Source organism: Homo sapiens, chromosome 6 (genome assembly GCF_000001405.40).
Source record: "Homo sapiens chromosome 6, GRCh38.p14 Primary Assembly".
Lineage (NCBI taxonomy): Eukaryota > Metazoa > Chordata > Mammalia > Primates > Hominidae > Homo > Homo sapiens.
In genome coordinates, this window is record NC_000006.12 from 31,574,673 (window position 1) to 31,596,100 (window position 21,428).

The 21,428-nt window shown below is 52.2% G+C and overlaps 4 protein-coding genes across 21 annotated transcripts, besides 4 other annotated features; 2 read left to right on the top strand and 2 right to left on the bottom strand.

The window, feature by feature from the left end:
- On the top strand, positions 893-3,664 carry TNF (tumor necrosis factor). Its single transcript, NM_000594.4, has 4 exons — positions 893-1,255; positions 1,862-1,907; positions 2,095-2,142; positions 2,444-3,664. Exons 1-4 carry the CDS (start codon positions 1,070-1,072, stop codon positions 2,863-2,865), a joined length of 702 nt encoding a protein of 233 aa, NP_000585.2. The 5' UTR covers positions 893-1,069; the 3' UTR covers positions 2,866-3,664.
- Positions 3,342-4,541: an enhancer, noted in NCBI's record as "P300/CBP strongly-dependent group 1 enhancer chr6:31545791-31546990 (GRCh37/hg19 assembly coordinates)". NCBI's record gives its function as "activates an origin of replication core promoter dependent on BRD2, BRD4, P300/CBP, MED14 and CDK7 cofactors, with strong dependence on P300/CBP, by STARR-seq in HCT116 cells {active_cell/tissue: HCT116}" and the evidence as "EXISTENCE:reporter gene assay evidence [ECO:0000049][PMID:35650434]".
- LTB (lymphotoxin beta) lies at positions 5,886-7,753 on the bottom strand. 2 transcript variants are annotated; one of them, NM_002341.2, is made up of 4 exons: positions 7,584-7,752; positions 7,142-7,187; positions 6,887-6,958; positions 5,886-6,491 (listed from the first exon to the last, which is right to left on the bottom strand). In NM_002341.2, the coding sequence occupies exons 1-4, from the start codon at positions 7,743-7,745 to the stop codon at positions 6,037-6,039; spliced, it is 735 nt and encodes a 244-aa protein (NP_002332.1). In that variant the 5' UTR covers positions 7,746-7,752; the 3' UTR covers positions 5,886-6,036. The 2 variants fall into 2 exon arrangements, with proteins under 2 accessions (NP_002332.1, NP_033666.1); NM_009588.1 differs by lacking the exon at positions 7,142-7,187 and having other exon boundaries at positions 7,584-7,753.
- Positions 7,352-8,106: an enhancer, noted in NCBI's record as "H3K4me1 hESC enhancer chr6:31549801-31550555 (GRCh37/hg19 assembly coordinates)". NCBI's record gives its function as "activates a minimal SCP1, AML or CMV promoter by ChIP-STARR-seq in naive H9 embryonic stem cells {active_cell/tissue: H9 hESC(naive)}" and the evidence as "EXISTENCE:reporter gene assay evidence [ECO:0000049][PMID:30033119]".
- Positions 11,605-14,237, top strand: LST1 (leukocyte specific transcript 1). 13 transcript variants are annotated; one of them, XM_006715206.4, is made up of 5 exons: positions 11,605-11,643; positions 12,528-12,646; positions 12,969-13,061; positions 13,272-13,294; positions 13,825-14,237. In XM_006715206.4, exons 2-5 carry the CDS (start codon positions 12,628-12,630, stop codon positions 14,002-14,004), a joined length of 315 nt encoding a protein of 104 aa, XP_006715269.1. In that variant the 5' UTR covers positions 11,605-11,643; positions 12,528-12,627; the 3' UTR covers positions 14,005-14,237. The 13 variants fall into 13 exon arrangements, 11 of the variants coding, with proteins under 11 accessions (XP_006715269.1, NP_995311.2, XP_006715273.1 ...); NM_205839.3 differs by having other exon boundaries at positions 13,846-14,237; XM_011514914.3 differs by lacking the exon at positions 11,605-11,643 and adding an exon at positions 12,027-12,135.
- On the bottom strand, positions 14,223-18,334 carry NCR3 (natural cytotoxicity triggering receptor 3). 5 transcript variants are annotated; one of them, XM_006715049.4, is made up of 5 exons: positions 18,185-18,334; positions 18,007-18,094; positions 15,110-15,454; positions 14,854-14,961; positions 14,223-14,504 (listed from the first exon to the last, which is right to left on the bottom strand). In XM_006715049.4, exons 2-5 carry the CDS (start codon positions 18,047-18,049, stop codon positions 14,395-14,397), a joined length of 606 nt encoding a protein of 201 aa, XP_006715112.1. In that variant the 5' UTR covers positions 18,050-18,094; positions 18,185-18,334; the 3' UTR covers positions 14,223-14,394. The 5 variants fall into 5 exon arrangements, with proteins under 5 accessions (XP_006715112.1, XP_011512761.1, NP_667341.1 ...); XM_011514459.3 differs by having other exon boundaries at positions 15,110-15,227; positions 15,303-15,454; positions 18,007-18,334; NM_147130.3 differs by having other exon boundaries at positions 18,007-18,334.
- Positions 15,108-15,608: an enhancer, noted in NCBI's record as "H3K4me1 hESC enhancer chr6:31557557-31558057 (GRCh37/hg19 assembly coordinates)". NCBI's record gives its function as "activates a minimal SCP1, AML or CMV promoter by ChIP-STARR-seq in primed H9 embryonic stem cells {active_cell/tissue: H9 hESC(primed)}" and the evidence as "EXISTENCE:reporter gene assay evidence [ECO:0000049][PMID:30033119]".
- Positions 18,620-19,540: an enhancer, noted in NCBI's record as "H3K4me1 hESC enhancer chr6:31561069-31561989 (GRCh37/hg19 assembly coordinates)". NCBI's record gives its function as "activates a minimal SCP1, AML or CMV promoter by ChIP-STARR-seq in primed H9 embryonic stem cells {active_cell/tissue: H9 hESC(primed)}" and the evidence as "EXISTENCE:reporter gene assay evidence [ECO:0000049][PMID:30033119]".

Below are 21,428 nucleotides of genomic sequence, written 5' to 3' on the forward strand. Positions count from 1 at the left end.
TATGGAAGTCGAGTATGGGGACCCCCCCTTAACGAAGACAGGGCCATGTAGAGGGCCCCAGGGAGTGAAAGAGCCTCCAGGACCTCCAGGTATGGAATACAGGGGACGTTTAAGAAGATATGGCCACACACTGGGGCCCTGAGAAGTGAGAGCTTCATGAAAAAAATCAGGGACCCCAGAGTTCCTTGGAAGCCAAGACTGAAACCAGCATTATGAGTCTCCGGGTCAGAATGAAAGAAGAAGGCCTGCCCCAGTGGGGTCTGTGAATTCCCGGGGGTGATTTCACTCCCCGGGGCTGTCCCAGGCTTGTCCCTGCTACCCCCACCCAGCCTTTCCTGAGGCCTCAAGCCTGCCACCAAGCCCCCAGCTCCTTCTCCCCGCAGGGACCCAAACACAGGCCTCAGGACTCAACACAGCTTTTCCCTCCAACCCCGTTTTCTCTCCCTCAAGGACTCAGCTTTCTGAAGCCCCTCCCAGTTCTAGTTCTATCTTTTTCCTGCATCCTGTCTGGAAGTTAGAAGGAAACAGACCACAGACCTGGTCCCCAAAAGAAATGGAGGCAATAGGTTTTGAGGGGCATGGGGACGGGGTTCAGCCTCCAGGGTCCTACACACAAATCAGTCAGTGGCCCAGAAGACCCCCCTCGGAATCGGAGCAGGGAGGATGGGGAGTGTGAGGGGTATCCTTGATGCTTGTGTGTCCCCAACTTTCCAAATCCCCGCCCCCGCGATGGAGAAGAAACCGAGACAGAAGGTGCAGGGCCCACTACCGCTTCCTCCAGATGAGCTCATGGGTTTCTCCACCAAGGAAGTTTTCCGCTGGTTGAATGATTCTTTCCCCGCCCTCCTCTCGCCCCAGGGACATATAAAGGCAGTTGTTGGCACACCCAGCCAGCAGACGCTCCCTCAGCAAGGACAGCAGAGGACCAGCTAAGAGGGAGAGAAGCAACTACAGACCCCCCCTGAAAACAACCCTCAGACGCCACATCCCCTGACAAGCTGCCAGGCAGGTTCTCTTCCTCTCACATACTGACCCACGGCTCCACCCTCTCTCCCCTGGAAAGGACACCATGAGCACTGAAAGCATGATCCGGGACGTGGAGCTGGCCGAGGAGGCGCTCCCCAAGAAGACAGGGGGGCCCCAGGGCTCCAGGCGGTGCTTGTTCCTCAGCCTCTTCTCCTTCCTGATCGTGGCAGGCGCCACCACGCTCTTCTGCCTGCTGCACTTTGGAGTGATCGGCCCCCAGAGGGAAGAGGTGAGTGCCTGGCCAGCCTTCATCCACTCTCCCACCCAAGGGGAAATGGAGACGCAAGAGAGGGAGAGAGATGGGATGGGTGAAAGATGTGCGCTGATAGGGAGGGATGGAGAGAAAAAAACGTGGAGAAAGACGGGGATGCAGAAAGAGATGTGGCAAGAGATGGGGAAGAGAGAGAGAGAAAGATGGAGAGACAGGATGTCTGGCACATGGAAGGTGCTCACTAAGTGTGTATGGAGTGAATGAATGAATGAATGAATGAACAAGCAGATATATAAATAAGATATGGAGACAGATGTGGGGTGTGAGAAGAGAGATGGGGGAAGAAACAAGTGATATGAATAAAGATGGTGAGACAGAAAGAGCGGGAAATATGACAGCTAAGGAGAGAGATGGGGGAGATAAGGAGAGAAGAAGATAGGGTGTCTGGCACACAGAAGACACTCAGGGAAAGAGCTGTTGAATGCCTGGAAGGTGAATACACAGATGAATGGAGAGAGAAAACCAGACACCTCAGGGCTAAGAGCGCAGGCCAGACAGGCAGCCAGCTGTTCCTCCTTTAAGGGTGACTCCCTCGATGTTAACCATTCTCCTTCTCCCCAACAGTTCCCCAGGGACCTCTCTCTAATCAGCCCTCTGGCCCAGGCAGTCAGTAAGTGTCTCCAAACCTCTTTCCTAATTCTGGGTTTGGGTTTGGGGGTAGGGTTAGTACCGGTATGGAAGCAGTGGGGGAAATTTAAAGTTTTGGTCTTGGGGGAGGATGGATGGAGGTGAAAGTAGGGGGGTATTTTCTAGGAAGTTTAAGGGTCTCAGCTTTTTCTTTTCTCTCTCCTCTTCAGGATCATCTTCTCGAACCCCGAGTGACAAGCCTGTAGCCCATGTTGTAGGTAAGAGCTCTGAGGATGTGTCTTGGAACTTGGAGGGCTAGGATTTGGGGATTGAAGCCCGGCTGATGGTAGGCAGAACTTGGAGACAATGTGAGAAGGACTCGCTGAGCTCAAGGGAAGGGTGGAGGAACAGCACAGGCCTTAGTGGGATACTCAGAACGTCATGGCCAGGTGGGATGTGGGATGACAGACAGAGAGGACAGGAACCGGATGTGGGGTGGGCAGAGCTCGAGGGCCAGGATGTGGAGAGTGAACCGACATGGCCACACTGACTCTCCTCTCCCTCTCTCCCTCCCTCCAGCAAACCCTCAAGCTGAGGGGCAGCTCCAGTGGCTGAACCGCCGGGCCAATGCCCTCCTGGCCAATGGCGTGGAGCTGAGAGATAACCAGCTGGTGGTGCCATCAGAGGGCCTGTACCTCATCTACTCCCAGGTCCTCTTCAAGGGCCAAGGCTGCCCCTCCACCCATGTGCTCCTCACCCACACCATCAGCCGCATCGCCGTCTCCTACCAGACCAAGGTCAACCTCCTCTCTGCCATCAAGAGCCCCTGCCAGAGGGAGACCCCAGAGGGGGCTGAGGCCAAGCCCTGGTATGAGCCCATCTATCTGGGAGGGGTCTTCCAGCTGGAGAAGGGTGACCGACTCAGCGCTGAGATCAATCGGCCCGACTATCTCGACTTTGCCGAGTCTGGGCAGGTCTACTTTGGGATCATTGCCCTGTGAGGAGGACGAACATCCAACCTTCCCAAACGCCTCCCCTGCCCCAATCCCTTTATTACCCCCTCCTTCAGACACCCTCAACCTCTTCTGGCTCAAAAAGAGAATTGGGGGCTTAGGGTCGGAACCCAAGCTTAGAACTTTAAGCAACAAGACCACCACTTCGAAACCTGGGATTCAGGAATGTGTGGCCTGCACAGTGAAGTGCTGGCAACCACTAAGAATTCAAACTGGGGCCTCCAGAACTCACTGGGGCCTACAGCTTTGATCCCTGACATCTGGAATCTGGAGACCAGGGAGCCTTTGGTTCTGGCCAGAATGCTGCAGGACTTGAGAAGACCTCACCTAGAAATTGACACAAGTGGACCTTAGGCCTTCCTCTCTCCAGATGTTTCCAGACTTCCTTGAGACACGGAGCCCAGCCCTCCCCATGGAGCCAGCTCCCTCTATTTATGTTTGCACTTGTGATTATTTATTATTTATTTATTATTTATTTATTTACAGATGAATGTATTTATTTGGGAGACCGGGGTATCCTGGGGGACCCAATGTAGGAGCTGCCTTGGCTCAGACATGTTTTCCGTGAAAACGGAGCTGAACAATAGGCTGTTCCCATGTAGCCCCCTGGCCTCTGTGCCTTCTTTTGATTATGTTTTTTAAAATATTTATCTGATTAAGTTGTCTAAACAATGCTGATTTGGTGACCAACTGTCACTCATTGCTGAGCCTCTGCTCCCCAGGGGAGTTGTGTCTGTAATCGCCCTACTATTCAGTGGCGAGAAATAAAGTTTGCTTAGAAAAGAAACATGGTCTCCTTCTTGGAATTAATTCTGCATCTGCCTCTTCTTGTGGGTGGGAAGAAGCTCCCTAAGTCCTCTCTCCACAGGCTTTAAGATCCCTCGGACCCAGTCCCATCCTTAGACTCCTAGGGCCCTGGAGACCCTACATAAACAAAGCCCAACAGAATATTCCCCATCCCCCAGGAAACAAGAGCCTGAACCTAATTACCTCTCCCTCAGGGCATGGGAATTTCCAACTCTGGGAATTCCAATCCTTGCTGGGAAAATCCTGCAGCTCAGGTGAGATTTCCGGCTGTTGCAGCTGGCCAGCAGTCCGGAGAGAGCTGGAGAGGAGCCGCATTCTCAGGTACCTGAATCACACAGCCAAGGGACTTCCAGAGATTCGGGTGTCTAGGCTTCAAATCACCCTGTCCTAACTCTGCAACCTGAACCAGCCACTTAACCTATCTATCCAATGGGGATAGGAATGTCCACCACACATAGGGCATGTGAGAGAAGGCCTGACCTCCATCAGAGGACCTCACTCAGCCCTTGGCACAGTGGGCACTTAGTGAATTCTGGCTTCCTTCAACCAGTTTCCAGCTGTTCTATCCCCTTCCATTCTCTCAGTGGGTGAAATCGAAGAGACTGAGGACAATAAAGAACAAGGAACCGAACTGCCGGACGTGGTGGCATGCACCTGTAATCCTACCACTTTGCAAGGCCAAGGTGAGAGGATCGCTTGAACCCAGGAGTTCCAGAGCAACCTGGGCAACATAGTGAGATCCTGTCTCTATTTTTTAAAAAAGAATGAAACATAGGAATAAGATGTGGGTGAAGGACTCACATGCCGGCTTGGTCCCACTGGTCTTTGTGGTGAAGGAGGGGAGAGGTGAGAGGTGGGTAATCCGGAAAGAGAAAAGCACCCCCTCCCTGGATGAAGGCTCTTCTGGAGAGAGTCAAAGACAAATAAGGGTGGGGCGCAGTGGCTCATGCCTGTTATCCCAACACTTTGGGAGGCTGAGGTGGGAGGACCACTTGAGCCCACTAGTTCAAGACCAGCCTGTGCAACATAGCAAGACCTTGTTTCTAGAAAAAAAATTAAAGATTAGTCAGGTGTAGTGGTGCATGCCTGTAATCCTAGCTCCTCAGGAGGCTGAGGCAGGAGGATCACTCAAGCCCAGGAGTTTGAGGTTACAGTAAGCTATGATCATGCCACTGTACCCCCGTCTGGGTGACAGAACGAGACCCTGTCTCAAAAAAATAATAATTCCAAAAACAAATATGGAGACGGAAATTGAGCCCCCCTAGACTGGGAGCCCCCACTGAGTTCGGAAATTAGGCTTTACCTCCAGCCCTGGGGTGCCAGGCAGGAGAAAACCATGTGGTAGGCTGAGGGGGTAGGGTGACCCATTGGGGTGACCTAGATAGGGCCTTGGGTCACCCTCTGCCTCCTCCAGCCTGTGGCTGAAAGTCAGCCATGAAGTAATGGGGGACACTGTTACTCATCCCAGAAGCACCCACACTTACTCACTTTTGGGAAGGGGGACCTAAAGTGTGAAAAAAAGGTGAGGATTTTCCGTCTCACCCTAAATGGGACACCCTAAGTGGGGCATCGGTTTTTCCTCCTCCCCAGAACTTCCTGGTGTTTTCAGGCACCACAGGCTCCTTCCTGCCATCCCCATCTCTCTCTAATATTCTCCCCTTCTTTCTCCTTCAGCCTCCTCCCTTCAGACCCCATGAGCCTTGAATTAAGCTCCTTGGAGGAGAAGAGTTGACTGTCGGGTAGGAGACAGAGAGGCCTTCAGGCAGCTCTAGGGGGAGAAGTGCGGGGCCCCTCCAGGCTTCATTCCTCTGTCATGATAGGGGCTTACTCTGCTGCTGGGCCTTTCTGAGTGGTGCTTGCTGGGCTCTGTAATGACCCCTCTCACTGTTGGGGGGTACCCAAGAGAAAAGAGTATGGTGCAGAGTCTGGTTGGGACCATGTGGCCCTGAAAATCAGGATGCCTAGAGAAGCTTCGGAGTTTGAGAAGTCCCCCTTCCTCCCACCCTCCAACTGGGCTAATGGTGGGGCCTGGCCATTCAGAGGCAGGGAGGGGGTGGGACAGGCAGACCATCATCCCTAGGAGCAAAGGCCATACACTGTGTTGTGATGAATTGTTTCAAGCAACCAGAAGAGTACTGAGAATATTTAACCCGCACCCGTGCACCCACCCTGAATTAAGACGTGTGTCGCAACTCAGCATCTTTATCGGCAGCACTGAAGCTTTCCATTCTTTATTTTCATCAGGTTCAAAATCAATTTCCAAACAGTCTCCTACATTTTTCCCACTGCCATGGGGTCCTGGGCGTCCGGGCCCCCAATATTCACGCACTCGCACCACGCACTCATATTCCCTCACCCCACCATCACGGCCCCAAAGAAGGTCTTCCCTCTCGCGAAGTCCACCATATCGGGGTGACTGATGTTGACGTACACCCTCTCGCCCCTCCGGAGCTGCACCAGGCCGCCGAACCCCACGCTCGTGTACCAGAGAGGCCCGTACCCTTGTCTCCTGGCCGGGTCCAGCACTGGAGTCACCGTCTCGGCGCCCTCGAGCAGCAGCTCGGGAGTGCCCGGCCCGTAGGCGCCCCCCGCCCGGTACAGAGAGCTGCGCAGCGTGACCGAGCGGCCCTGGGGGTCCCCGCCGCCAGGGGGCGCCCGGCCCCGGTAGCCGACGAGACAGTAGAGGTAATAGAGGCCGTCCTGCGGGAGCGCCAGCCCCTCGGCGTCCGAGAACTGCGTCCCGCTCGTCAGAAACGCCTGTTCCTTCGTCGTCTCCCAGCCTAGCCCCTGCCCCTTCAGCGGAGCGCCTGCGGAGACACGGGCCGACGCGCTCTTGGGAATGCGATCCTAAAGGCTTGGGACTTCTGGGGAAGTGGCGGCTTTTAGCCCCTGCGGGAGCCGAGCCGGGCCGGGGGAGGAGGGATGGTGCTGTTTCTGGGATGAGTGCGAGTTGGGGGCCGAGGGAACACGGATGTGGGGTGCAGAACGCTGTAGTGGGGACCTCCAGGCCGGCTTTTGCTTGCACCGGAGGGAAGAAGAAACTACACTGCGGGGACGAGCGTAAGAGTGGGCACGAGCGACAAAAGGTCGTGAAGCGGGTGGGAAACCGAGCACTGGAATCATGGAGCCGAAGGACTCTGGGCGAGCAGAACTGGAACCTTCGGATTATTTACACTCTTATTCAGGTCTTGGAGGTCCTTACCTATGAGGTGGGCAGCTGGGAGCCCGGGGCTGAGATCTGTTTCTGGCTCCTCCTCTGGCAGCTTCTGAAACCCTGGAAGGGGCAAAGAGTCCACGATTGGGGGCAGGGCAGCCACCCATGCAGGCTACCCTTGAGAGAACAGGGCGCAGGGATGGGGAGCCTGGATTCCTAGAGGAAGAGGTATCTGGGGACGCAGCAGGGAGCTGGGAGCCCCTGAGGGTCTGAAGCGGGGAAGGAGAGACAGTCTGCTCTTACCCAGTCCTTGCTGGGCCTGTGCCCCGGGGTCGGCCGTCTCCGTTACCTGGTTGGGTGGGGTCACAGTGCCCAGAGTTCAGATTCAGCTCATGTCACCCCTACCCCTCTGAAAGTGGACCCAAGCTGCAGGCCTGGGGTTTCTCCTACCAGCACCATCCCCAACACACACCTCCTTAGAAGGGAGAACAAGCAAGGCATAGGTACTTGGGCGGAGAAACAGATGTACCTCGGGAAGAGGAGAGGAGACACAAGGGGCTTATGTCGGGACACAAGCACAACATCACAGGAACATGGAAAGAGAGTCAGCAAAGAGACAAGACATCCCCACCAGGGACAGCCGAGCCAGCTGAGCCAGAGGGGGCAAAAGACCACAGGCACAACCAGAGGGAGCCAAGCATCCGCAAGATACAACTCTCCACCAGGGCCTGTTGCAGCCACTCACCAGTCCTCCCTGATCCTGGGGCACTAAGGCCAGCACAGCCAGGACAGTGATAGGCACCGCCAGCAACAAGGTCACCAGAGAAGTGGCTCCTGCCACAGCTAGCAGGAGGGAACCCCTCCCCTGGAGCCTCCCACCCCTGCCCTCCAGCCCCAGTGCCCCCATTGAGACTGAACCAGAGCCAGAGCAGGGGGCTTTCATACCTCAGGGACGGGCCCACCCCCTCCCTGTAGACCTGCACACCTGGCTGGGACTTTCCGCACACCCCTGCTCCCCTCACCCAGCTTCCTGTTTACCCAGAGCTGGGGTGGGGCAGCTGGATGCCTGGGTTCTCTGAACTGGGGAAGAAGTTGAGGTTAGGGAGACAGGCTCTCAGGGTGGAACCAAAGGGGTCTTTAGACATCTTCTGGCTCAGCAGAGAGAGAAACTGAGGCCCAGGGAGGGAAGGTAGCTTGCAGGAAGCCAGTCAGCAGAGCTGAAATGAGAACACAGATCTCCAGGTTTCCAATGTGGTTTGCATTCTTCTATACCCTCAAGGTAGGTGCTGGAGGAAGAGCTGATCCCGTCTCTGAGGTCAAGGGCCGGACTAGGACAAGGACTGGAATCTTGAGGGATGGATGTCTGGGTTCCCTGAGAAGAACTGATTCCCATACTGGGCTGACCTCCTCCCGTTCCCTTGCTCATCTCCAGCCCCCTGTGCTGAGTGAGAAAGGGAGAGGTAAGCCTTAGCCTCACCACTGACTACTGACTCACTAAGGAGGGATGGAAATGGAGCTTTACCTCCCTTGCTACAAAAAGTAAAGACAGATGGACGAGGCATACTCCCACCCTCAGAGAGCTTCCAAGTCTACAATGAGCCCTATCCATTAGTAGGTGCTTACTAAATGTTTATACATAAATGAATAAAAGGACAAATAAATGCAGGAATAACCAAAACAAAGCAGCAAGGACCACATGAATGGTAGATGTAGGCAGCATGAGTGGTTAAGAGTCAAGGGAGTAGCCGGGGTAGTGGCTTACACCTGTAATCCCAACACTTTGGGAGGCTGAGGCAGGTGGATCACTTGAGGTCAGGAGTTCGAGACCAGCCTGGCCAACATGGTGAAACCCTGTCTCTACTAAAGATACAAAAAGTTAGCCGGGCGTGGTGGCACGCGCCTGTAATTCCAGCTACACAGGAGGCTGAGGCAGGAGAATCACTTAAACCTGGGAGGCAGAGGTTGCAGTGAGCCAAGATTGCACCATTGCACTCCAGCCTGGGCAACAGGCTGAGACTCTCTCTCTCAAAAAAAAAAAAAAAAAAAAAAAAAGAGTCAAGGGAAGAAAGACCAGGTCCAAGGAAGCTGGAAGTGGCTCCAATCATCTCCCCTTCTTGGTAACATCTCTATGTGTTTCCGTAATACTAATAATAATATAGCTGACCCACAAAATGCACTTAACATGTTTATGCCACTGATTTACACACTTTAATAATTTTTTTTTTTGAGACAGGGTCTCGCTATGTCACCCAGACTGGAATGCAATGGCAGGATCATGGCTCACTGCAGCCTTGACCTCCCAGGATCTATGGATTCACCTACCTCAGCCTCCTGAATAGCTGGGACTATAGGCACATGCCACCATGCCCAGCTAATTTTTGCATTTTTTGTAGAGATGGATTTTTGCCACATTGCCCAGGCTGGGCTCAAACTCCTGGACTCACGTGATCTGCCCGTGTTGGCCTCCTAAAGTGCTGGGATTACAAGCATGAGCCATCATGCCCAGCCAATAATTATAATCCTGACAAAAACCCTAAGAGGAAACTGAGGTACAGAGAGGTTAAGAAACTTATGGAGCTCACAGAGTCAGTGGCAGAACCAGAATTTGAACCCAGGCATCTGGCTCCAGAGCCTTGATAACAAGACAGTTTAAAAACTGAATACTGGGGCTGGGCGCAGTGGCTCTTGCCTATAATACCAGCACTTTGGGAGGCCAAGGAAGGTGGATCATCTGAGGTAAGGAGCTCGAGAGCAGCCTGATCAACATGGTGAAACCCCATCTCTACTAAAAATATAAAAATTAGCGGGGCGTGGTGGTAGGCACCTTTAATTCCAGCTACTTGGGAGGCTGAGGCAGGAGAATCACTTGAACCCAGGAGGCGGAAGTTGCAGTGAGCCGAAATCATGCCATTGCACTCCAGCCTGGGTGACAAGAACAAGACTCTGTCTTAAAAACAAAAACAAACAAACAAAACAGTATTAGGCCAGGCGAGATGGCTCACACCTATAATCCCAGCACTTTAGGAGACCAAGGCAGGTGGATCACTTGAGGTCAAGAGTTTGAGACCAGCCTGGCCAACATGGTGAAACCCCTTCTCCATTAAAAATACAAAAATTAGCTGGATATGGTGGCACAAACCTGTAGTCCCAGCTACTTGGGAGGCTGAGACAGGAGAATCGCTTGTACCCAGAAGGCAGAGGTTGCAGTGAGCCAAGATCACACCACTGGACTCCAGCCTGGGCAACAGAGCAAGACTCCGTCTCAAAAAAAAAAAAGAGTACTGACTTGAGATTTGTATGTAAAATTTGCCTTCCTCAGGCCAGAAAAGAAATGGGGAAATAAATACTGAACTCCAGTCAATGTTAAGCTTCTGAAGGGTTTAGATGTAAAATGTACTGATATTTGTAATTTTAAAAGATATTTAAAAGTGAGATGGATTGATAAATATGTGATAAAGCAAATAAAAAATGTTAATAGAGCCAGGTGCAGTGGCCCACTCCTGTAATTCCAGCACTTTGGAAGGCTAAGGTGGAAAGATTGCTTGAGACCAGGAGTTCAAAATCAGCCTGGGCAACATAGTAAGACCCCATTTCTACAAAGCCTCATGTGGTAGCTGGTGTCTGTAGTCCTAGCTACTCAGAAGGCTAAGGTGGGAGGACCTCTGAGCCCAGGAATTCAAGGCTGCAGTGAGCTATGATTTCACCACTGCACTTCAGGCTGAGTGACAGAGTGAGACCCCATCTCAAAAACAAAACAAAACAAAAAATGTTAATAGTAGCATCTAGGTGGTAAGAATATGTTCACTGTACAATTATTCTCATTTCACCCTATGTTTGCACTTTTTAATAATAAAATGTAAAAAAAACAAAACAAACAAACAAAAAACCCTGAATATTATTCAGCATGGGGAACATGGAGGATGGGGAGAAGGGTGGGGGAGGAAGTAGAAGGTTCTTGAATTTGGAAGGGGAAACGCAAATTAATATGGACCCACCCAGGCACCACATCTCCTCCTCACCCCTTGCCTTACAGGCGCTCCCCAGTCTTCACCCTCCTCAAGGAGTGGGTGTGCAATCCTCCAGCACCCATCTCCTTCTCCATCACAGTGCCACTAAGAAGCCTTCACCCAGGTCTCTCCAGAGAGCCTCAGGCCGCTGCCTTTACTTAGTTCTGTGTTCAATGCCAGAATGCTGCCTCCTACAGGAAGTCCACCTGTATTGCCCACACCTCCTTTCCTGTCACCAACTTGTCACCAACTTTCTGTCCTTGATCTATCCACAGGGCTCATGTAGATCTAGTATGGCTGCCTTTAACTCTCATGTTTGTTAATCAGACAGCCAAGCAGCCTGCTGCATAGAGCTGCAGAACACCAAGTGGGTCACCAGAACACCAAATATGCCAGAGCTCCCAGTCTGAACTGGAGCAGGGTACATGTGTCCACAGACATATGCCAAGATCAAGAGGTCTCAACAGATGCAGTGTAAGAGGTAATAGAGAAGAGTTAATCAAGGAAGACACCTGAAGGTGGTGGGTGTTTGCTGACTAGTGGCAGGATCAGTGAAATGACTGGAGCTGAGGCAGATTATGGCCCTAGCTACAGGCCCAGAAGTTTGAAAAGAAAGATGTTGTAACCCTAACCCTGGAGCCGAACTTCCTCTCCTAACAATGCTGGGGAGGAACCCAGGCTGGGGGAGAAGTTAAAGCCAGAGGAGGGGCAGGAATGTCTGAGGTGGCAACACTTCTCTTCAGCCAGACAGCACTGGCCAGTTTGGAGTCTGTCCATCCTGCAGGCCACAAGCTCTGGGTAAGCTGGGAATGGGCAGGGACCTTGGTGGAAGGATGGTCACACCCCAGAGTGGGGTGAAGCTAAGATGAGGGGAGGGAGAGTATGGGTTTGAGTTTCCCTGGGCCGTCGAGGAATCCTCTGAGTCTCTGCTCCCCAAAGAAATTAAAGACAATTCATTTCTGTGCCCACGGCCCTTATGGCCTCCACCTGCACTTCTGCTCCCCACCCCCCAGAATTCCTCTTAAACCCAGAAGGGTCCCAGTTTCCAGACCCTAGTCAGTATATCTGGCTCTGGGGTGAAGAGAACGGCCCCCTCTTCACCCTCAAACAGGAACCAGTGGTTGGAGGGGAGGAAGTGCCTGAGGGGAAGTTATGGGGCCCCAGATACTCCTCCATGCCCCACTTCAGCCCTAGCAGCATCTGCCTGTGGGAAGCAGCTCTCCACACCAGCCAAGGGGGCCCCCACACTCCCGCGCTGCTCTGCGGCTCAGGGAGCAGCCCACCTGCTGGGTGTGCTGATATCACCCTCCCTTCTTCCCCCCAGTGCCCACACCCACCCAGGCCCAGGCTCCTTCCCCTCCATCATCCCCTTACCAGCACCTAGAACCATCCAGGGCTGAAAAGTCCCCTCCAAACCACGTGGTCAGCCCAGGGCAGAGGAAAGGGCTGGGCTCTGGAGTTGGGCAGAGCTGGCCTTAAACCCCAGCTCCACCTTTCTGGGATGGGTGACCTAGTAAAGTCCAGGCTTGAATCTCGGGTCTTTACTTGGGCAACGGGCACCATGATACCCTATGTTCTGGGGATTAGCAGTGAGGAATGGAAAGTGCCCAGCTCAGGGTTGGCACATAAGGGAGGCTCCCCAGCCTGGGAACGATTATAACAGAGGGCCCCTCACTTCACAGATGAGGAACTTGAGGCAAGTCACCAGCCCCTGATCATTTCGCCTAAAAGAGCAAGGACTAGAGTTCCTGACCTCCAGGCCAGTCCCTGATCCCTGACCTAATGTTATCGCGGAATGATGGTAAGTAAAGTGTCTCTTGCATCTGCATAGAGAGAGTCCTGGGAGCTTAGGAAGTGATGGGGAACAGTGATGTATGCAGCTCATGACTAGGTGGACAGGCCTCTGGGGACAGCTGGTACAGGAGGGAAAGGGACCTCACGGGAGGCCCAGAAACCTGGTAAGAGGTGAGGTATTAAGGTCTGGGATGGAGAAGCTCTGAGGGTATATTTTTCTGCCTCTAAAACTGTTGGAGAGGGAATCTGAGAAAGCTGCAACCAACCAGGAGGCTGGGGTACGCTGGAGAAGGAATGGGCTTCCTAACCTTGAGCCCTCTTCCCTGAAGATATATGTATCTACGGGGGCCTGGGGCTGGGCGGGCTCCTGCTTCTGGCAGTGGTCCTTCTGTCCGCCTGCCTGTGTTGGCTGCATCGAAGAGGTGAGCGCTGCACTCCCTCCCTCCCCCTGCAGCAGTGCCCCCTGTGCCCCCACCCCCACACGCTTTCCCACTGCTTTCCCAGAACACTGCCTGGCCCTGGAGCCACTGGGAAGCCAACAGGGGAGTCCACGCCTGCTGGTGGGGGGAGCCCGGGAGGGCCCGGGAGAAGCACAAAGGGTGGGCTGTGTTGAGCTTCTTCTTTTCTTCCAGTAAAGAGGCTGGAGAGGAGCTGGGTGAGTCTGGGGACAGGGAAGGGGGAGGGCAAGAGAGATCCTGAGTGGGTGAGTGGGGAGAAGCATGGCTGAGCGCTGAGAGGAGGGTTGGGGACGGGAGACAAGGAGAGAGAAAGTAGGAGCATGAGAGAGGCAGAGAAAATCGAGGCAAAAGAGAAAGAGAAAATGAGACAGAAACCAAGAGAAAAAGTGAGACAGAGGATAGGAGAGACAGGGAGAAAATGAGAGTGAGAGAGACACAAAGAGAAGAGCAATGAAAGAGAGAGAGAGAGAGAGGCTCCAGAACCAGGCACAGTGGCTCACGTCTGTCATTCCAGCTATCGCAAGGCTGAGGCAGGAAGATAGCTTGAGCTCAGGGGTTGAAGACAATCCTGGACAACATAGTGGGACTCTGTCTCCAAAGAAAAAAGAGAGAGAGAGAGAGAGAGAGAGAGAGGGAGAGAGAGAGAGAGAGAGGGAGAGAAGTAAGAAAGGCTGGAGGTGGGAGCAGAACTCACAGGGAAGGATCTGACGGCATCGCCTCCCATCAGCACCTTCTGTCCTGGTCCCAGGCCCAGGGCTCCTCAGAGCAGGAACTCCACTATGCATCTCTGCAGAGGCTGCCAGTGCCCAGCAGTGAGGGACCTGACCTCAGGGGCAGAGACAAGAGAGGCACCAAGGAGGATCCAAGAGCTGACTATGCCTGCATTGCTGAGAACAAACCCACCTGAGCACCCCAGACACCTTCCTCAACCCAGGCGGGTGGACAGGGTCCCCCTGTGGTCCAGCCAGTAAAAACCATGGTCCCCCCACTTCTGTGTCTCAGTCCTCTCAGTCCATCTCGAGCCTCCGTTCAAATTGATCATCATCAAAACTTATGTGGCTTTTTGACCTTTGAATAGGGAATTTTTTAAATTTTTTAAAAATTAAAATAAAAAAAACACATGGCTCACCCTTCCACCCACTCTGGGGTCAAATAGTAATTTATTGGGTGAATGACAGTGTTCAGGGACCCAAGCTCCCCTAACAGCCAGAAGAGGGTATGTGTGGGCCTGGCAGGAAAGGGCAGTTGCCAAGGAGGAGTCATATCTGATCCTTCCCATTTCTCAGGACAATCAGGCTCAGCCTCCTGGGACTGGGGGAAGCAGATGTGCTGAGCTCCCACATGGTGGTGGGAGGGGCGCTGGGACCACAGCCGGCAGCTGCCTTCTTGGACCTTTCCAGGTCAGACCTGGTGGAAGGGAAAGTTCAGAGTTGGGGGAATCCGGAGAGAGTAGATTTGGCATCTGGAGAATGGAGAAGAAAACACTTGAGACTCATGAGGAGTTAGTGGTGGGGCAGATTTATTGGGGTCTTTTGAAGAGGACTAGGGACATCTGGGCTCTGGAATCACTCCTCGGGGCCCATCTGAGGAGTGGCAGTGTGTTCCCATGTGACAGTGGCCTGGTCAGAGAGAGGACAGGAGCTGCTCAGTGTTGCAGTCCCGAGGCTCTCCTCTTCCTGGTCTCTGTCCTCCCTCCTCCCACTCTCTTACTGCCCCTCCCATCCCGTCCACTATTGCCCCTGGCTCCATTACTCACATTTGCCCTGGTAATAGACGGTGCTGCCCACGGCCACAGAGAGAAAGCTGACAGCATAGAATCCAGCCCGAAGGAGGAGGACTGTACCAGCCCCTAGCTGAGGATGTTCTGCATGGGGCAATGGAGACGGGGGTTGGGGAAGAAGTGCACACAGGCTCAGGGAGGGAAGGGGCCTCAGAGGAGCATCCCTGCCTCCCAAGGACATTGCCTCTTGGGGCCTCCAGCCAGGAGGAGACACCACCTCCCAGCATCTCACCTTTCTCCACCACCAGCCGAGTCCCATTCCCTGTCCCGACACCAAGGCCCAGCACCTCCACTCTGCACACGTAGATGCTGGCGTCATGGCCTCGCACGTCCCGGATGTGCAGCTCAGCCTGGTGGTCATGGAGGAAACGGGAAGAAGCAAGTGGGGCCAGGCGGCCCCTGAACTCTGGGGTTCCATTCCTCACCTCCTTCCCTGGAACCACCTCATCTCGGAACCACGTGACGGAGCCAATGGCCAGTCTCCCTTGGCTGGCATTGAAGGAGCAGGGCAGGAAGGCAGAGGATCCTTCCAGGGTACGAATCTCAGGGGGCTGGGACACCCAGAGAGCACAGGATCCTGGGGGCAGAAGGAAGACCCAGAGAAACACCTCCCCAGTTATTCCAAAGAGAAAAGACAACAGAGCTTGGAGTAGAACATCCCAGCTTTCTCCAGGCATAGGGTGCATGGGAATAGATACTTTGGGTGCCTCATTAAACCCTTCCCTCTTAACCAATCTGATTTCTTAACATTGCTTATTAAATCATTTTTCGGCTGGGTGCAGTGGCTCACGCCTGTAATCCCAGCACTTTGGGAGGCCGAGGTGGGCGGATCACCAGGTCAGGAGATCGAGACCATCCTGGCCAACATGGTGAAACCCCGTCTCTACTAAAAAAATACAAAAATTAGCCGGGCATGGTGGTGTGCACCTGTAATCCCAGCTACTCGGGAGGCTGAGGCAGGAGAATCGCTTGAACCCGGGAGGCAGAGGTTGCAGTGAGCCAAGATTGCGCCATTGCACTCCAGCCTGGGCGACAAAGCAAGACTCCATCTCAAAAAATAAAAAATAAAAATCATTTTTCAAATTCTTCCTATACCAACTCTCACTCTCACCCTCTGCCATCATTCTCCAGCCAGTTCAGTAGTAACTTGTCTAGCTGAAATGTAAACCATCATGGTGAAATTAAGCTCATTAATGAATGCAGCTGCCTAGTTAACTAATATCACTCATTATATTATCCAGGTATTATTTTAGTACAAATGGCATTGTACAGTAAGCCATCCTTCCTCTTTTTCTTTTTTCTTTTTTTGAGATGGGGTCTTGCTCTGTTGCCCAGGCTGGAATGCAGTGGTGCAATCTTGGCTCACTGCAAACTCCGTCCCCTGGGTTCAAGCGATCCTGGTGCCTCAGCCTCCCAAGTAGCTGGGACTACAGGCACCCACCACCACGACTGGCTAATTTTTGTATTTTCAGTCGAGACAGGGTTTCACCATCTGGTCTCAAACTCCTGACCTCAAGTGATCCACCCACCTCGGACCAGGCTGGTCTCAAACTCCTGATCTCAAGTGATCCACCTGCCTCGGCCTCCCAAAGTGCACCCAGCCACTCTTGGTTTTCGTTAAAGAAAGTAACTAATTAAATCTCCAGGTGAAGACGTGGCCTTAATTGGTTGAGATTCCTATTTAACCCGTCCATGTTGATGAATTAAACCAAATATTAAAATCCCTGATTAAATTATCTACTTAGGGAAATTTACAAGTCATTCTATTTCAGTGGTTCTCAAACTTGAGTGTGTATGGAAATTACCTGGAGCATCTGCTAGAACAGATTCCTGGGCCTACCCCCCGAGTTTTTGACTCAGTAGGTCTGGAGTGGGGCCTAAGAATTTGTTCTAGGTTCCCAGAAATCCACATTTTGAGAACTCCTGCATTTAGTTAATAATATGCCTGATAGTTAAGGTCTCTCAGTTCATTAAAAACAGTTTCGGCCGGGTGCAGTGGCTCACGCCTATAATCCCAACACTTTGGAAGGCCAAGGCGAGTGGATCACCTGAGGTCAGGAGTTTGAGACCAGCCTGGCCAACATGGTGAAACCTCGTCTCTACTAAAAATACACAAGTTAGCCAGCAGTAATGGCATGCACCTGTAATCCTAGCTACTTGGGAGGCTGAGACAGGAGAATCATTTTTACCCAGGAGGTGGAGGCTGCAGTGAGCTGAGATACCGCCACTGTACTCTAGACTGGACAACAGAATGAAACTGTCTCAAAAAAAAAGTTTCACCACCAGGCGGGCGCAGTGGCTCATGCCTATAATTCCAGTAATTTGGGAGACCGAGGCAGGCAGATCACTTGAGATCAGGAGTTTGAGACCAACCTGGCCAACATAGCAAAACCCCATCTCTACTAAAAATACAAAAATGGCTGGGCGCAGTGGCTCAGGCCTGTAATCCCCGCACTTTAGGAGGCCGAGGCAGGCAGATCACCTGAGGTCAGGAGTTCAAGACCAGCCCGGCCAACATGGTAAAACCCTGTCTCTACTAAAAATACAAAAATTAGTTGGGTGTGGTGGTGCGCGCTTGTAATCCCAGCTACCTAGGAGGCTGAGGCAGGAGAATTGCTTGAATCTAGGAGGCAGAGGTTGCAGTGAGCCAAGATCATGCCACTGCACTCCAGCCTAGGTGACAGAGCAAGACTCCGTCTCAAAAAAAAAAAAAATTAGCCAGGTGTGGTCGTGCGTGCGTGTAGTCCCAGCTACTCAGGAGGCTGAGGCAGGAGAATCACCTGAACATGGGAGGCAGAGGTTGCAGTGAGCCAAAATCGCACCACGGCACTCCAGCCAGGCGACAGAGCGAGACTCAGTCTCAAAAAAAAAAAAAAAAAAGTTTCACCAAGAAATTTATCATAGATTTACTTGGATCTCTCAAACTAAAAAGCCTCACAGTGGGTGACACAGAGAGACTGTGAATTGGGGGAGTCCACTGAGTGTCACCTTTGGAGCAGTCCCACTCCTCCCTCAGAGCCGTGTGTTTCAGCCCCCACCAAGCCCGTTCCCTATAGCATCTAGTCCAGCCTCCTGGATCTCCCTCCTCCCACCCACACTCCTTGGGGTCCTGAGCGCACGCCCTGTCACCTGGATGGACCATGATCAAGATGAGCAACAGCATCCAGGCCATGTCGGAAGATGTCCCAGTTGGCGAAGGGGATCTGAGCAGTGAGGTCTGGGTGGAGGAGGAAGGACTCACTACTTGTAGCCAGGCCTTTGGTCACCAGATGGGGATGGGGAGCTTCCTATGACACACGGGACTCACACATCACTTGCCAAGGACCACAACTGCCAGGGACCTCGAGCATCAAATGCTTGCCTCCCTGAGGAGAGAGGACAGATGCTGCTGGAGGAGATGTCAGGGTCTCTAGGAGGCCAAGGGGCCAGCTTGTGGCAGGCTAGCTAAGCGTGTGAGGGGGAGGGTGGGGCTTAGATGGCTGCTAACCCAAGGGTGAGTGGGCGGTTGGGCGGGTGAGACCAGGATGTGGGTTCCCCCACCTTCCGAGGTTCAAGGAGACCAGCTTTTACCCAGAACAAGCCTCCAGGAGCCCTCCTTGGCCCAGAAGCTAACCTACTTACCCTCCCTGCTGCTCACCAGTACCCAGACCCATCCCACCCATTCCCTTCCTGGAATCTGGCCTCACTGCACCCCAGGGCTACTCCAAGATTTCTATGAGGGATTAGGAGAAGCAAGCTGATTGGTGAAGCTATATTTAATTTGCATAGCAATCACCTTGTGTGTGTGTGTGTGTGTGTGTGTGTGTGTGTGTGTGTGTGTGTGTGTGTGTTTGGTTGGGTTTTTTTGTTTTTTGTTTTTTTTTTGAGCTGGAGTCTCACTCTGTTGCCCAGGCTGGAATGCAGTGGCACAATCTCGGCTCACTGCAACCTCTGCCTCCTGGGTTCAAGCAATTCTCTTGCCTCAGCCTCCCAAGTAGCTGGGATTACAGGCGCACATCACCAAGCCCAGCTAAATTTTGTATTTTTTGTAGAGACAGGGTTTTACCATGTTGGCCAGGCTGGTCTCCAACTCCTGATCTCAAGTGATCCACCAGCCTCGCCCTCCCAAAGTGCTGGGATTCCTGTTTTGGTTTTTTGAGACAGGGTCTGGCTCTGTCTCACCCAGGCTGGAGTTCAGTGGCGCCATCACGGCTCACTGCAGCCTCAACCTCCAGGGCTCAGTTGATCCTCCCACTTCAGTCTCCTGAGTAGCTGGGACTGCAGGCGCACACCACCACACCAGGCTAATTTTTGTATTTTTTGTAGAGATGGGGTCTCCCTGTGTTGCCCAGGCCGGTATCCAACTCCTGGGCTCAAACAATCCATCCACTTAGGCCTCCCAAAGTGCATGAGTCACCATGCCTGGCGAAATGTATTTCTTAAATAATGAGACTTGAAAGTCTAAATTACTCCTTAAACCATGGACTACAGGATGGATGTTATGTTAGCAGGCAGGAAAACAACATTCAGCTGGGCGTGGTGGCTCATGCCTGTAATCCCAGCACTTTGGGAGGCTGAGGTGGGAGGATCACCTGAGGTCAGGAGTCCGAGACCAGTCTGATCAACATAGAGAAACCCCGTCTCTACTAAAAATACAAAATTAGCCGGGTGTGGTGGGGCGCACCTGTAATCCCAGCTACTCGGGAGGCTGAGGCAGGAGAATCACTTGAACCCAGGAGGCGGAAGTTGCAGTGAGCTGATATCGCACCATTGCACTCCAGCCTGGGCAACAAGAGCGAAACTCCGTCTCAAAAAAAAAAAAAAAGAAAAAGAAAACAACATTCGTCTCTTTGGACATCTCCATCAGAGCTCTTGGATAACTATGTACATTGTCAATGAGCAGTAATCATTTTAAAGAAATCTTGTTTTTCGGAGCAGTAGACCTCAACAGTAGGCTTAAAATATTCAGTAAACCAGCGGGGCATAGTGGCTTACACTTGTAATCCCAGCACTTTGGGAGGCCAAGGTGAGAGGACGGCTTGAGGCCAGGGGTTTGAGACCAGCCTGGGCAACATGGCAAGACCCTGTCTCTACAAAAAAATTTAAACTTAGCTGGACATAGTGGCACACACCTATAGTACCAGCTACTCAGGAAGTTGAGGAAGGAGGATTCCTTGAGCCCAGGAGTTTCAAGGATGCAGTGAGCTATGATTTTGCCACTGCATTTCAGCCTGAGCAATGGAGGGAGACCTTGTCTCTAAATAAAATACAATTTAAATTGGGAATAGTAGTAAATGGAGTTTAAAAAAAAATAATTTTGGCTAGGTATGGTGGGTCACACCTGTAATCCCAGTACTTTGGGAAGCCCAGGAGGGCAGATCACTTGAGTTAAAGAGTTGGAGGCCAGGCCAGGCATGGTGGCTCATGCCTGTAATCCCAGCACTTTGGGAGGCTGAGGCGGGCGGATCACGAGTTCAGGAGATCGAGACCATCCTGGCTAACACGGTGAAACCCCATCTCTACTAAAAATACAAAAAATTAGCTGGGTGTGGTGGCATCTGCCTGTAGTCCCAGCTACTCAGGAGGCTGAGGCAGGAGAATCACTTGAACCTTGGAGGCAGAGGTTGCAGTTAGCCGAGATTGCGCCACTGCACTCCAGCCTGGGTGACAGAGCAAGACTTTGTCTCAAAAAAAAAAAAAAAAAAAAAAGAGTTGGAGATCAGCCTGGACAACCTGACGAAACCCTATCTCTACAAAAAATACAAAAATTAGCTGAGCATAGTGGCTCATGTCTGTGGTCCCAACTACTCAGGAGGCTGAGGTAGGAGGATCATTTGACTCTGGAAGGCAGAGGTTTCAATGAGTTGAGATCATGCTGCTGTACTACAGCCTGGGCAACATATTGAGACCGTGTCTCAAAAAAAAACAAACAAACAAAAAAAAGAAAAATTTTAAAATCAGTAAACCACGTTGTAAACAGATGTACTATCATCTAGGCTTTTATTTATTTATTTATTTATTTATATATTTTTTTGAGATGGAGTCTTGCTCTGTCACCCAGGCTGGAGTGCAGTGGTGCAATTTTAGCTCACTGCAACCTCCGCCCTCTGGGTTCAAGTGATTTTCCTGCCTCAGCCTCCCTAGTATCTGGGATTACAGGTGACTGCCACCACACCCGGCTAATTTTTGTATTTTTAGTAGAGACAGGGTTTGACCATCTTGGCCAGGCTGGTCTTGAACTCCTGACCTCAGGTGATCCGCCCACCTCAGCTTCCCAAAGTGCTGGGATTATAGGCATGAGCCACCACATCCAGCCATCTAGGCTTTATTGTTCCATTTACACAGCGTGGCAGAGTAAATTTAGCTAATTCTTGCCAAGTGCAGTGGTATGTGCCTATGTCTCTGCTACTCAGAAGGCTGAGGTGGAAGGATCACTTGAGGACAGAAGTTCAAGACTGCAGTATGCTACGATTTTGCTTGTGAAAGCCATGGCTCCATGGCACTCCAGCCTGGGCAACAGAGCAAGACCTTCTCTCTCTCTCTCTCTTTTTGAGACAAGGTCTCACTCTGTT

Excerpts from the sequence above, each read along its gene's own strand:
- TNF (NM_000594.4), top strand. The coding sequence starts at position 1,070 with ATGAGCACTGAAAGCATGATCCGGGACGTGGAGCTGGCCGAGGAGGCG. Across the intron at positions 1,256-1,861 it reads TCGGCCCCCAGAGGGAAGAG|TTCCCCAGGGACCTCTCTCT; the intron begins GTGAGTGCCTGG and ends TCTCCCCAACAG. Across the intron at positions 2,143-2,443 it reads GCCTGTAGCCCATGTTGTAG|CAAACCCTCAAGCTGAGGGG; the intron begins GTAAGAGCTCTG and ends CCCTCCCTCCAG.
- LTB (NM_002341.2), bottom strand. The coding sequence starts at position 7,745 with ATGGGGGCACTGGGGCTGGAGGGCAGGGGTGGGAGGCTCCAGGGGAGG. Across the intron at positions 7,188-7,583 it reads CCCAGGATCAGGGAGGACTG|GTAACGGAGACGGCCGACCC; the intron begins GTGAGTGGCTGC and ends CCACCCAACCAG. Across the intron at positions 6,492-6,886 it reads CCCAGCTGCCCACCTCATAG|GCGCTCCGCTGAAGGGGCAG; the intron begins GTAAGGACCTCC and ends GTGTCTCCGCAG.
- LST1 (XM_006715206.4), top strand. Across the intron at positions 13,062-13,271 it reads GTGTTGGCTGCATCGAAGAG|TAAAGAGGCTGGAGAGGAGC; the intron begins GTGAGCGCTGCA and ends CTTTTCTTCCAG. Across the intron at positions 13,295-13,824 it reads AGAGGCTGGAGAGGAGCTGG|CACCTTCTGTCCTGGTCCCA; the intron begins GTGAGTCTGGGG and ends GCCTCCCATCAG.
- NCR3 (XM_006715049.4), bottom strand. The coding sequence starts at position 18,049 with ATGGCCTGGATGCTGTTGCTCATCTTGATCATGGTCCATCCAG. Across the intron at positions 14,962-15,109 it reads TCGGCTGGTGGTGGAGAAAG|AACATCCTCAGCTAGGGGCT; the intron begins GTGAGATGCTGG and ends TGCCCCATGCAG. Across the intron at positions 14,505-14,853 it reads CGTCTATTACCAGGGCAAAT|GTCTGACCTGGAAAGGTCCA; the intron begins GTGAGTAATGGA and ends CCCTTCCACCAG.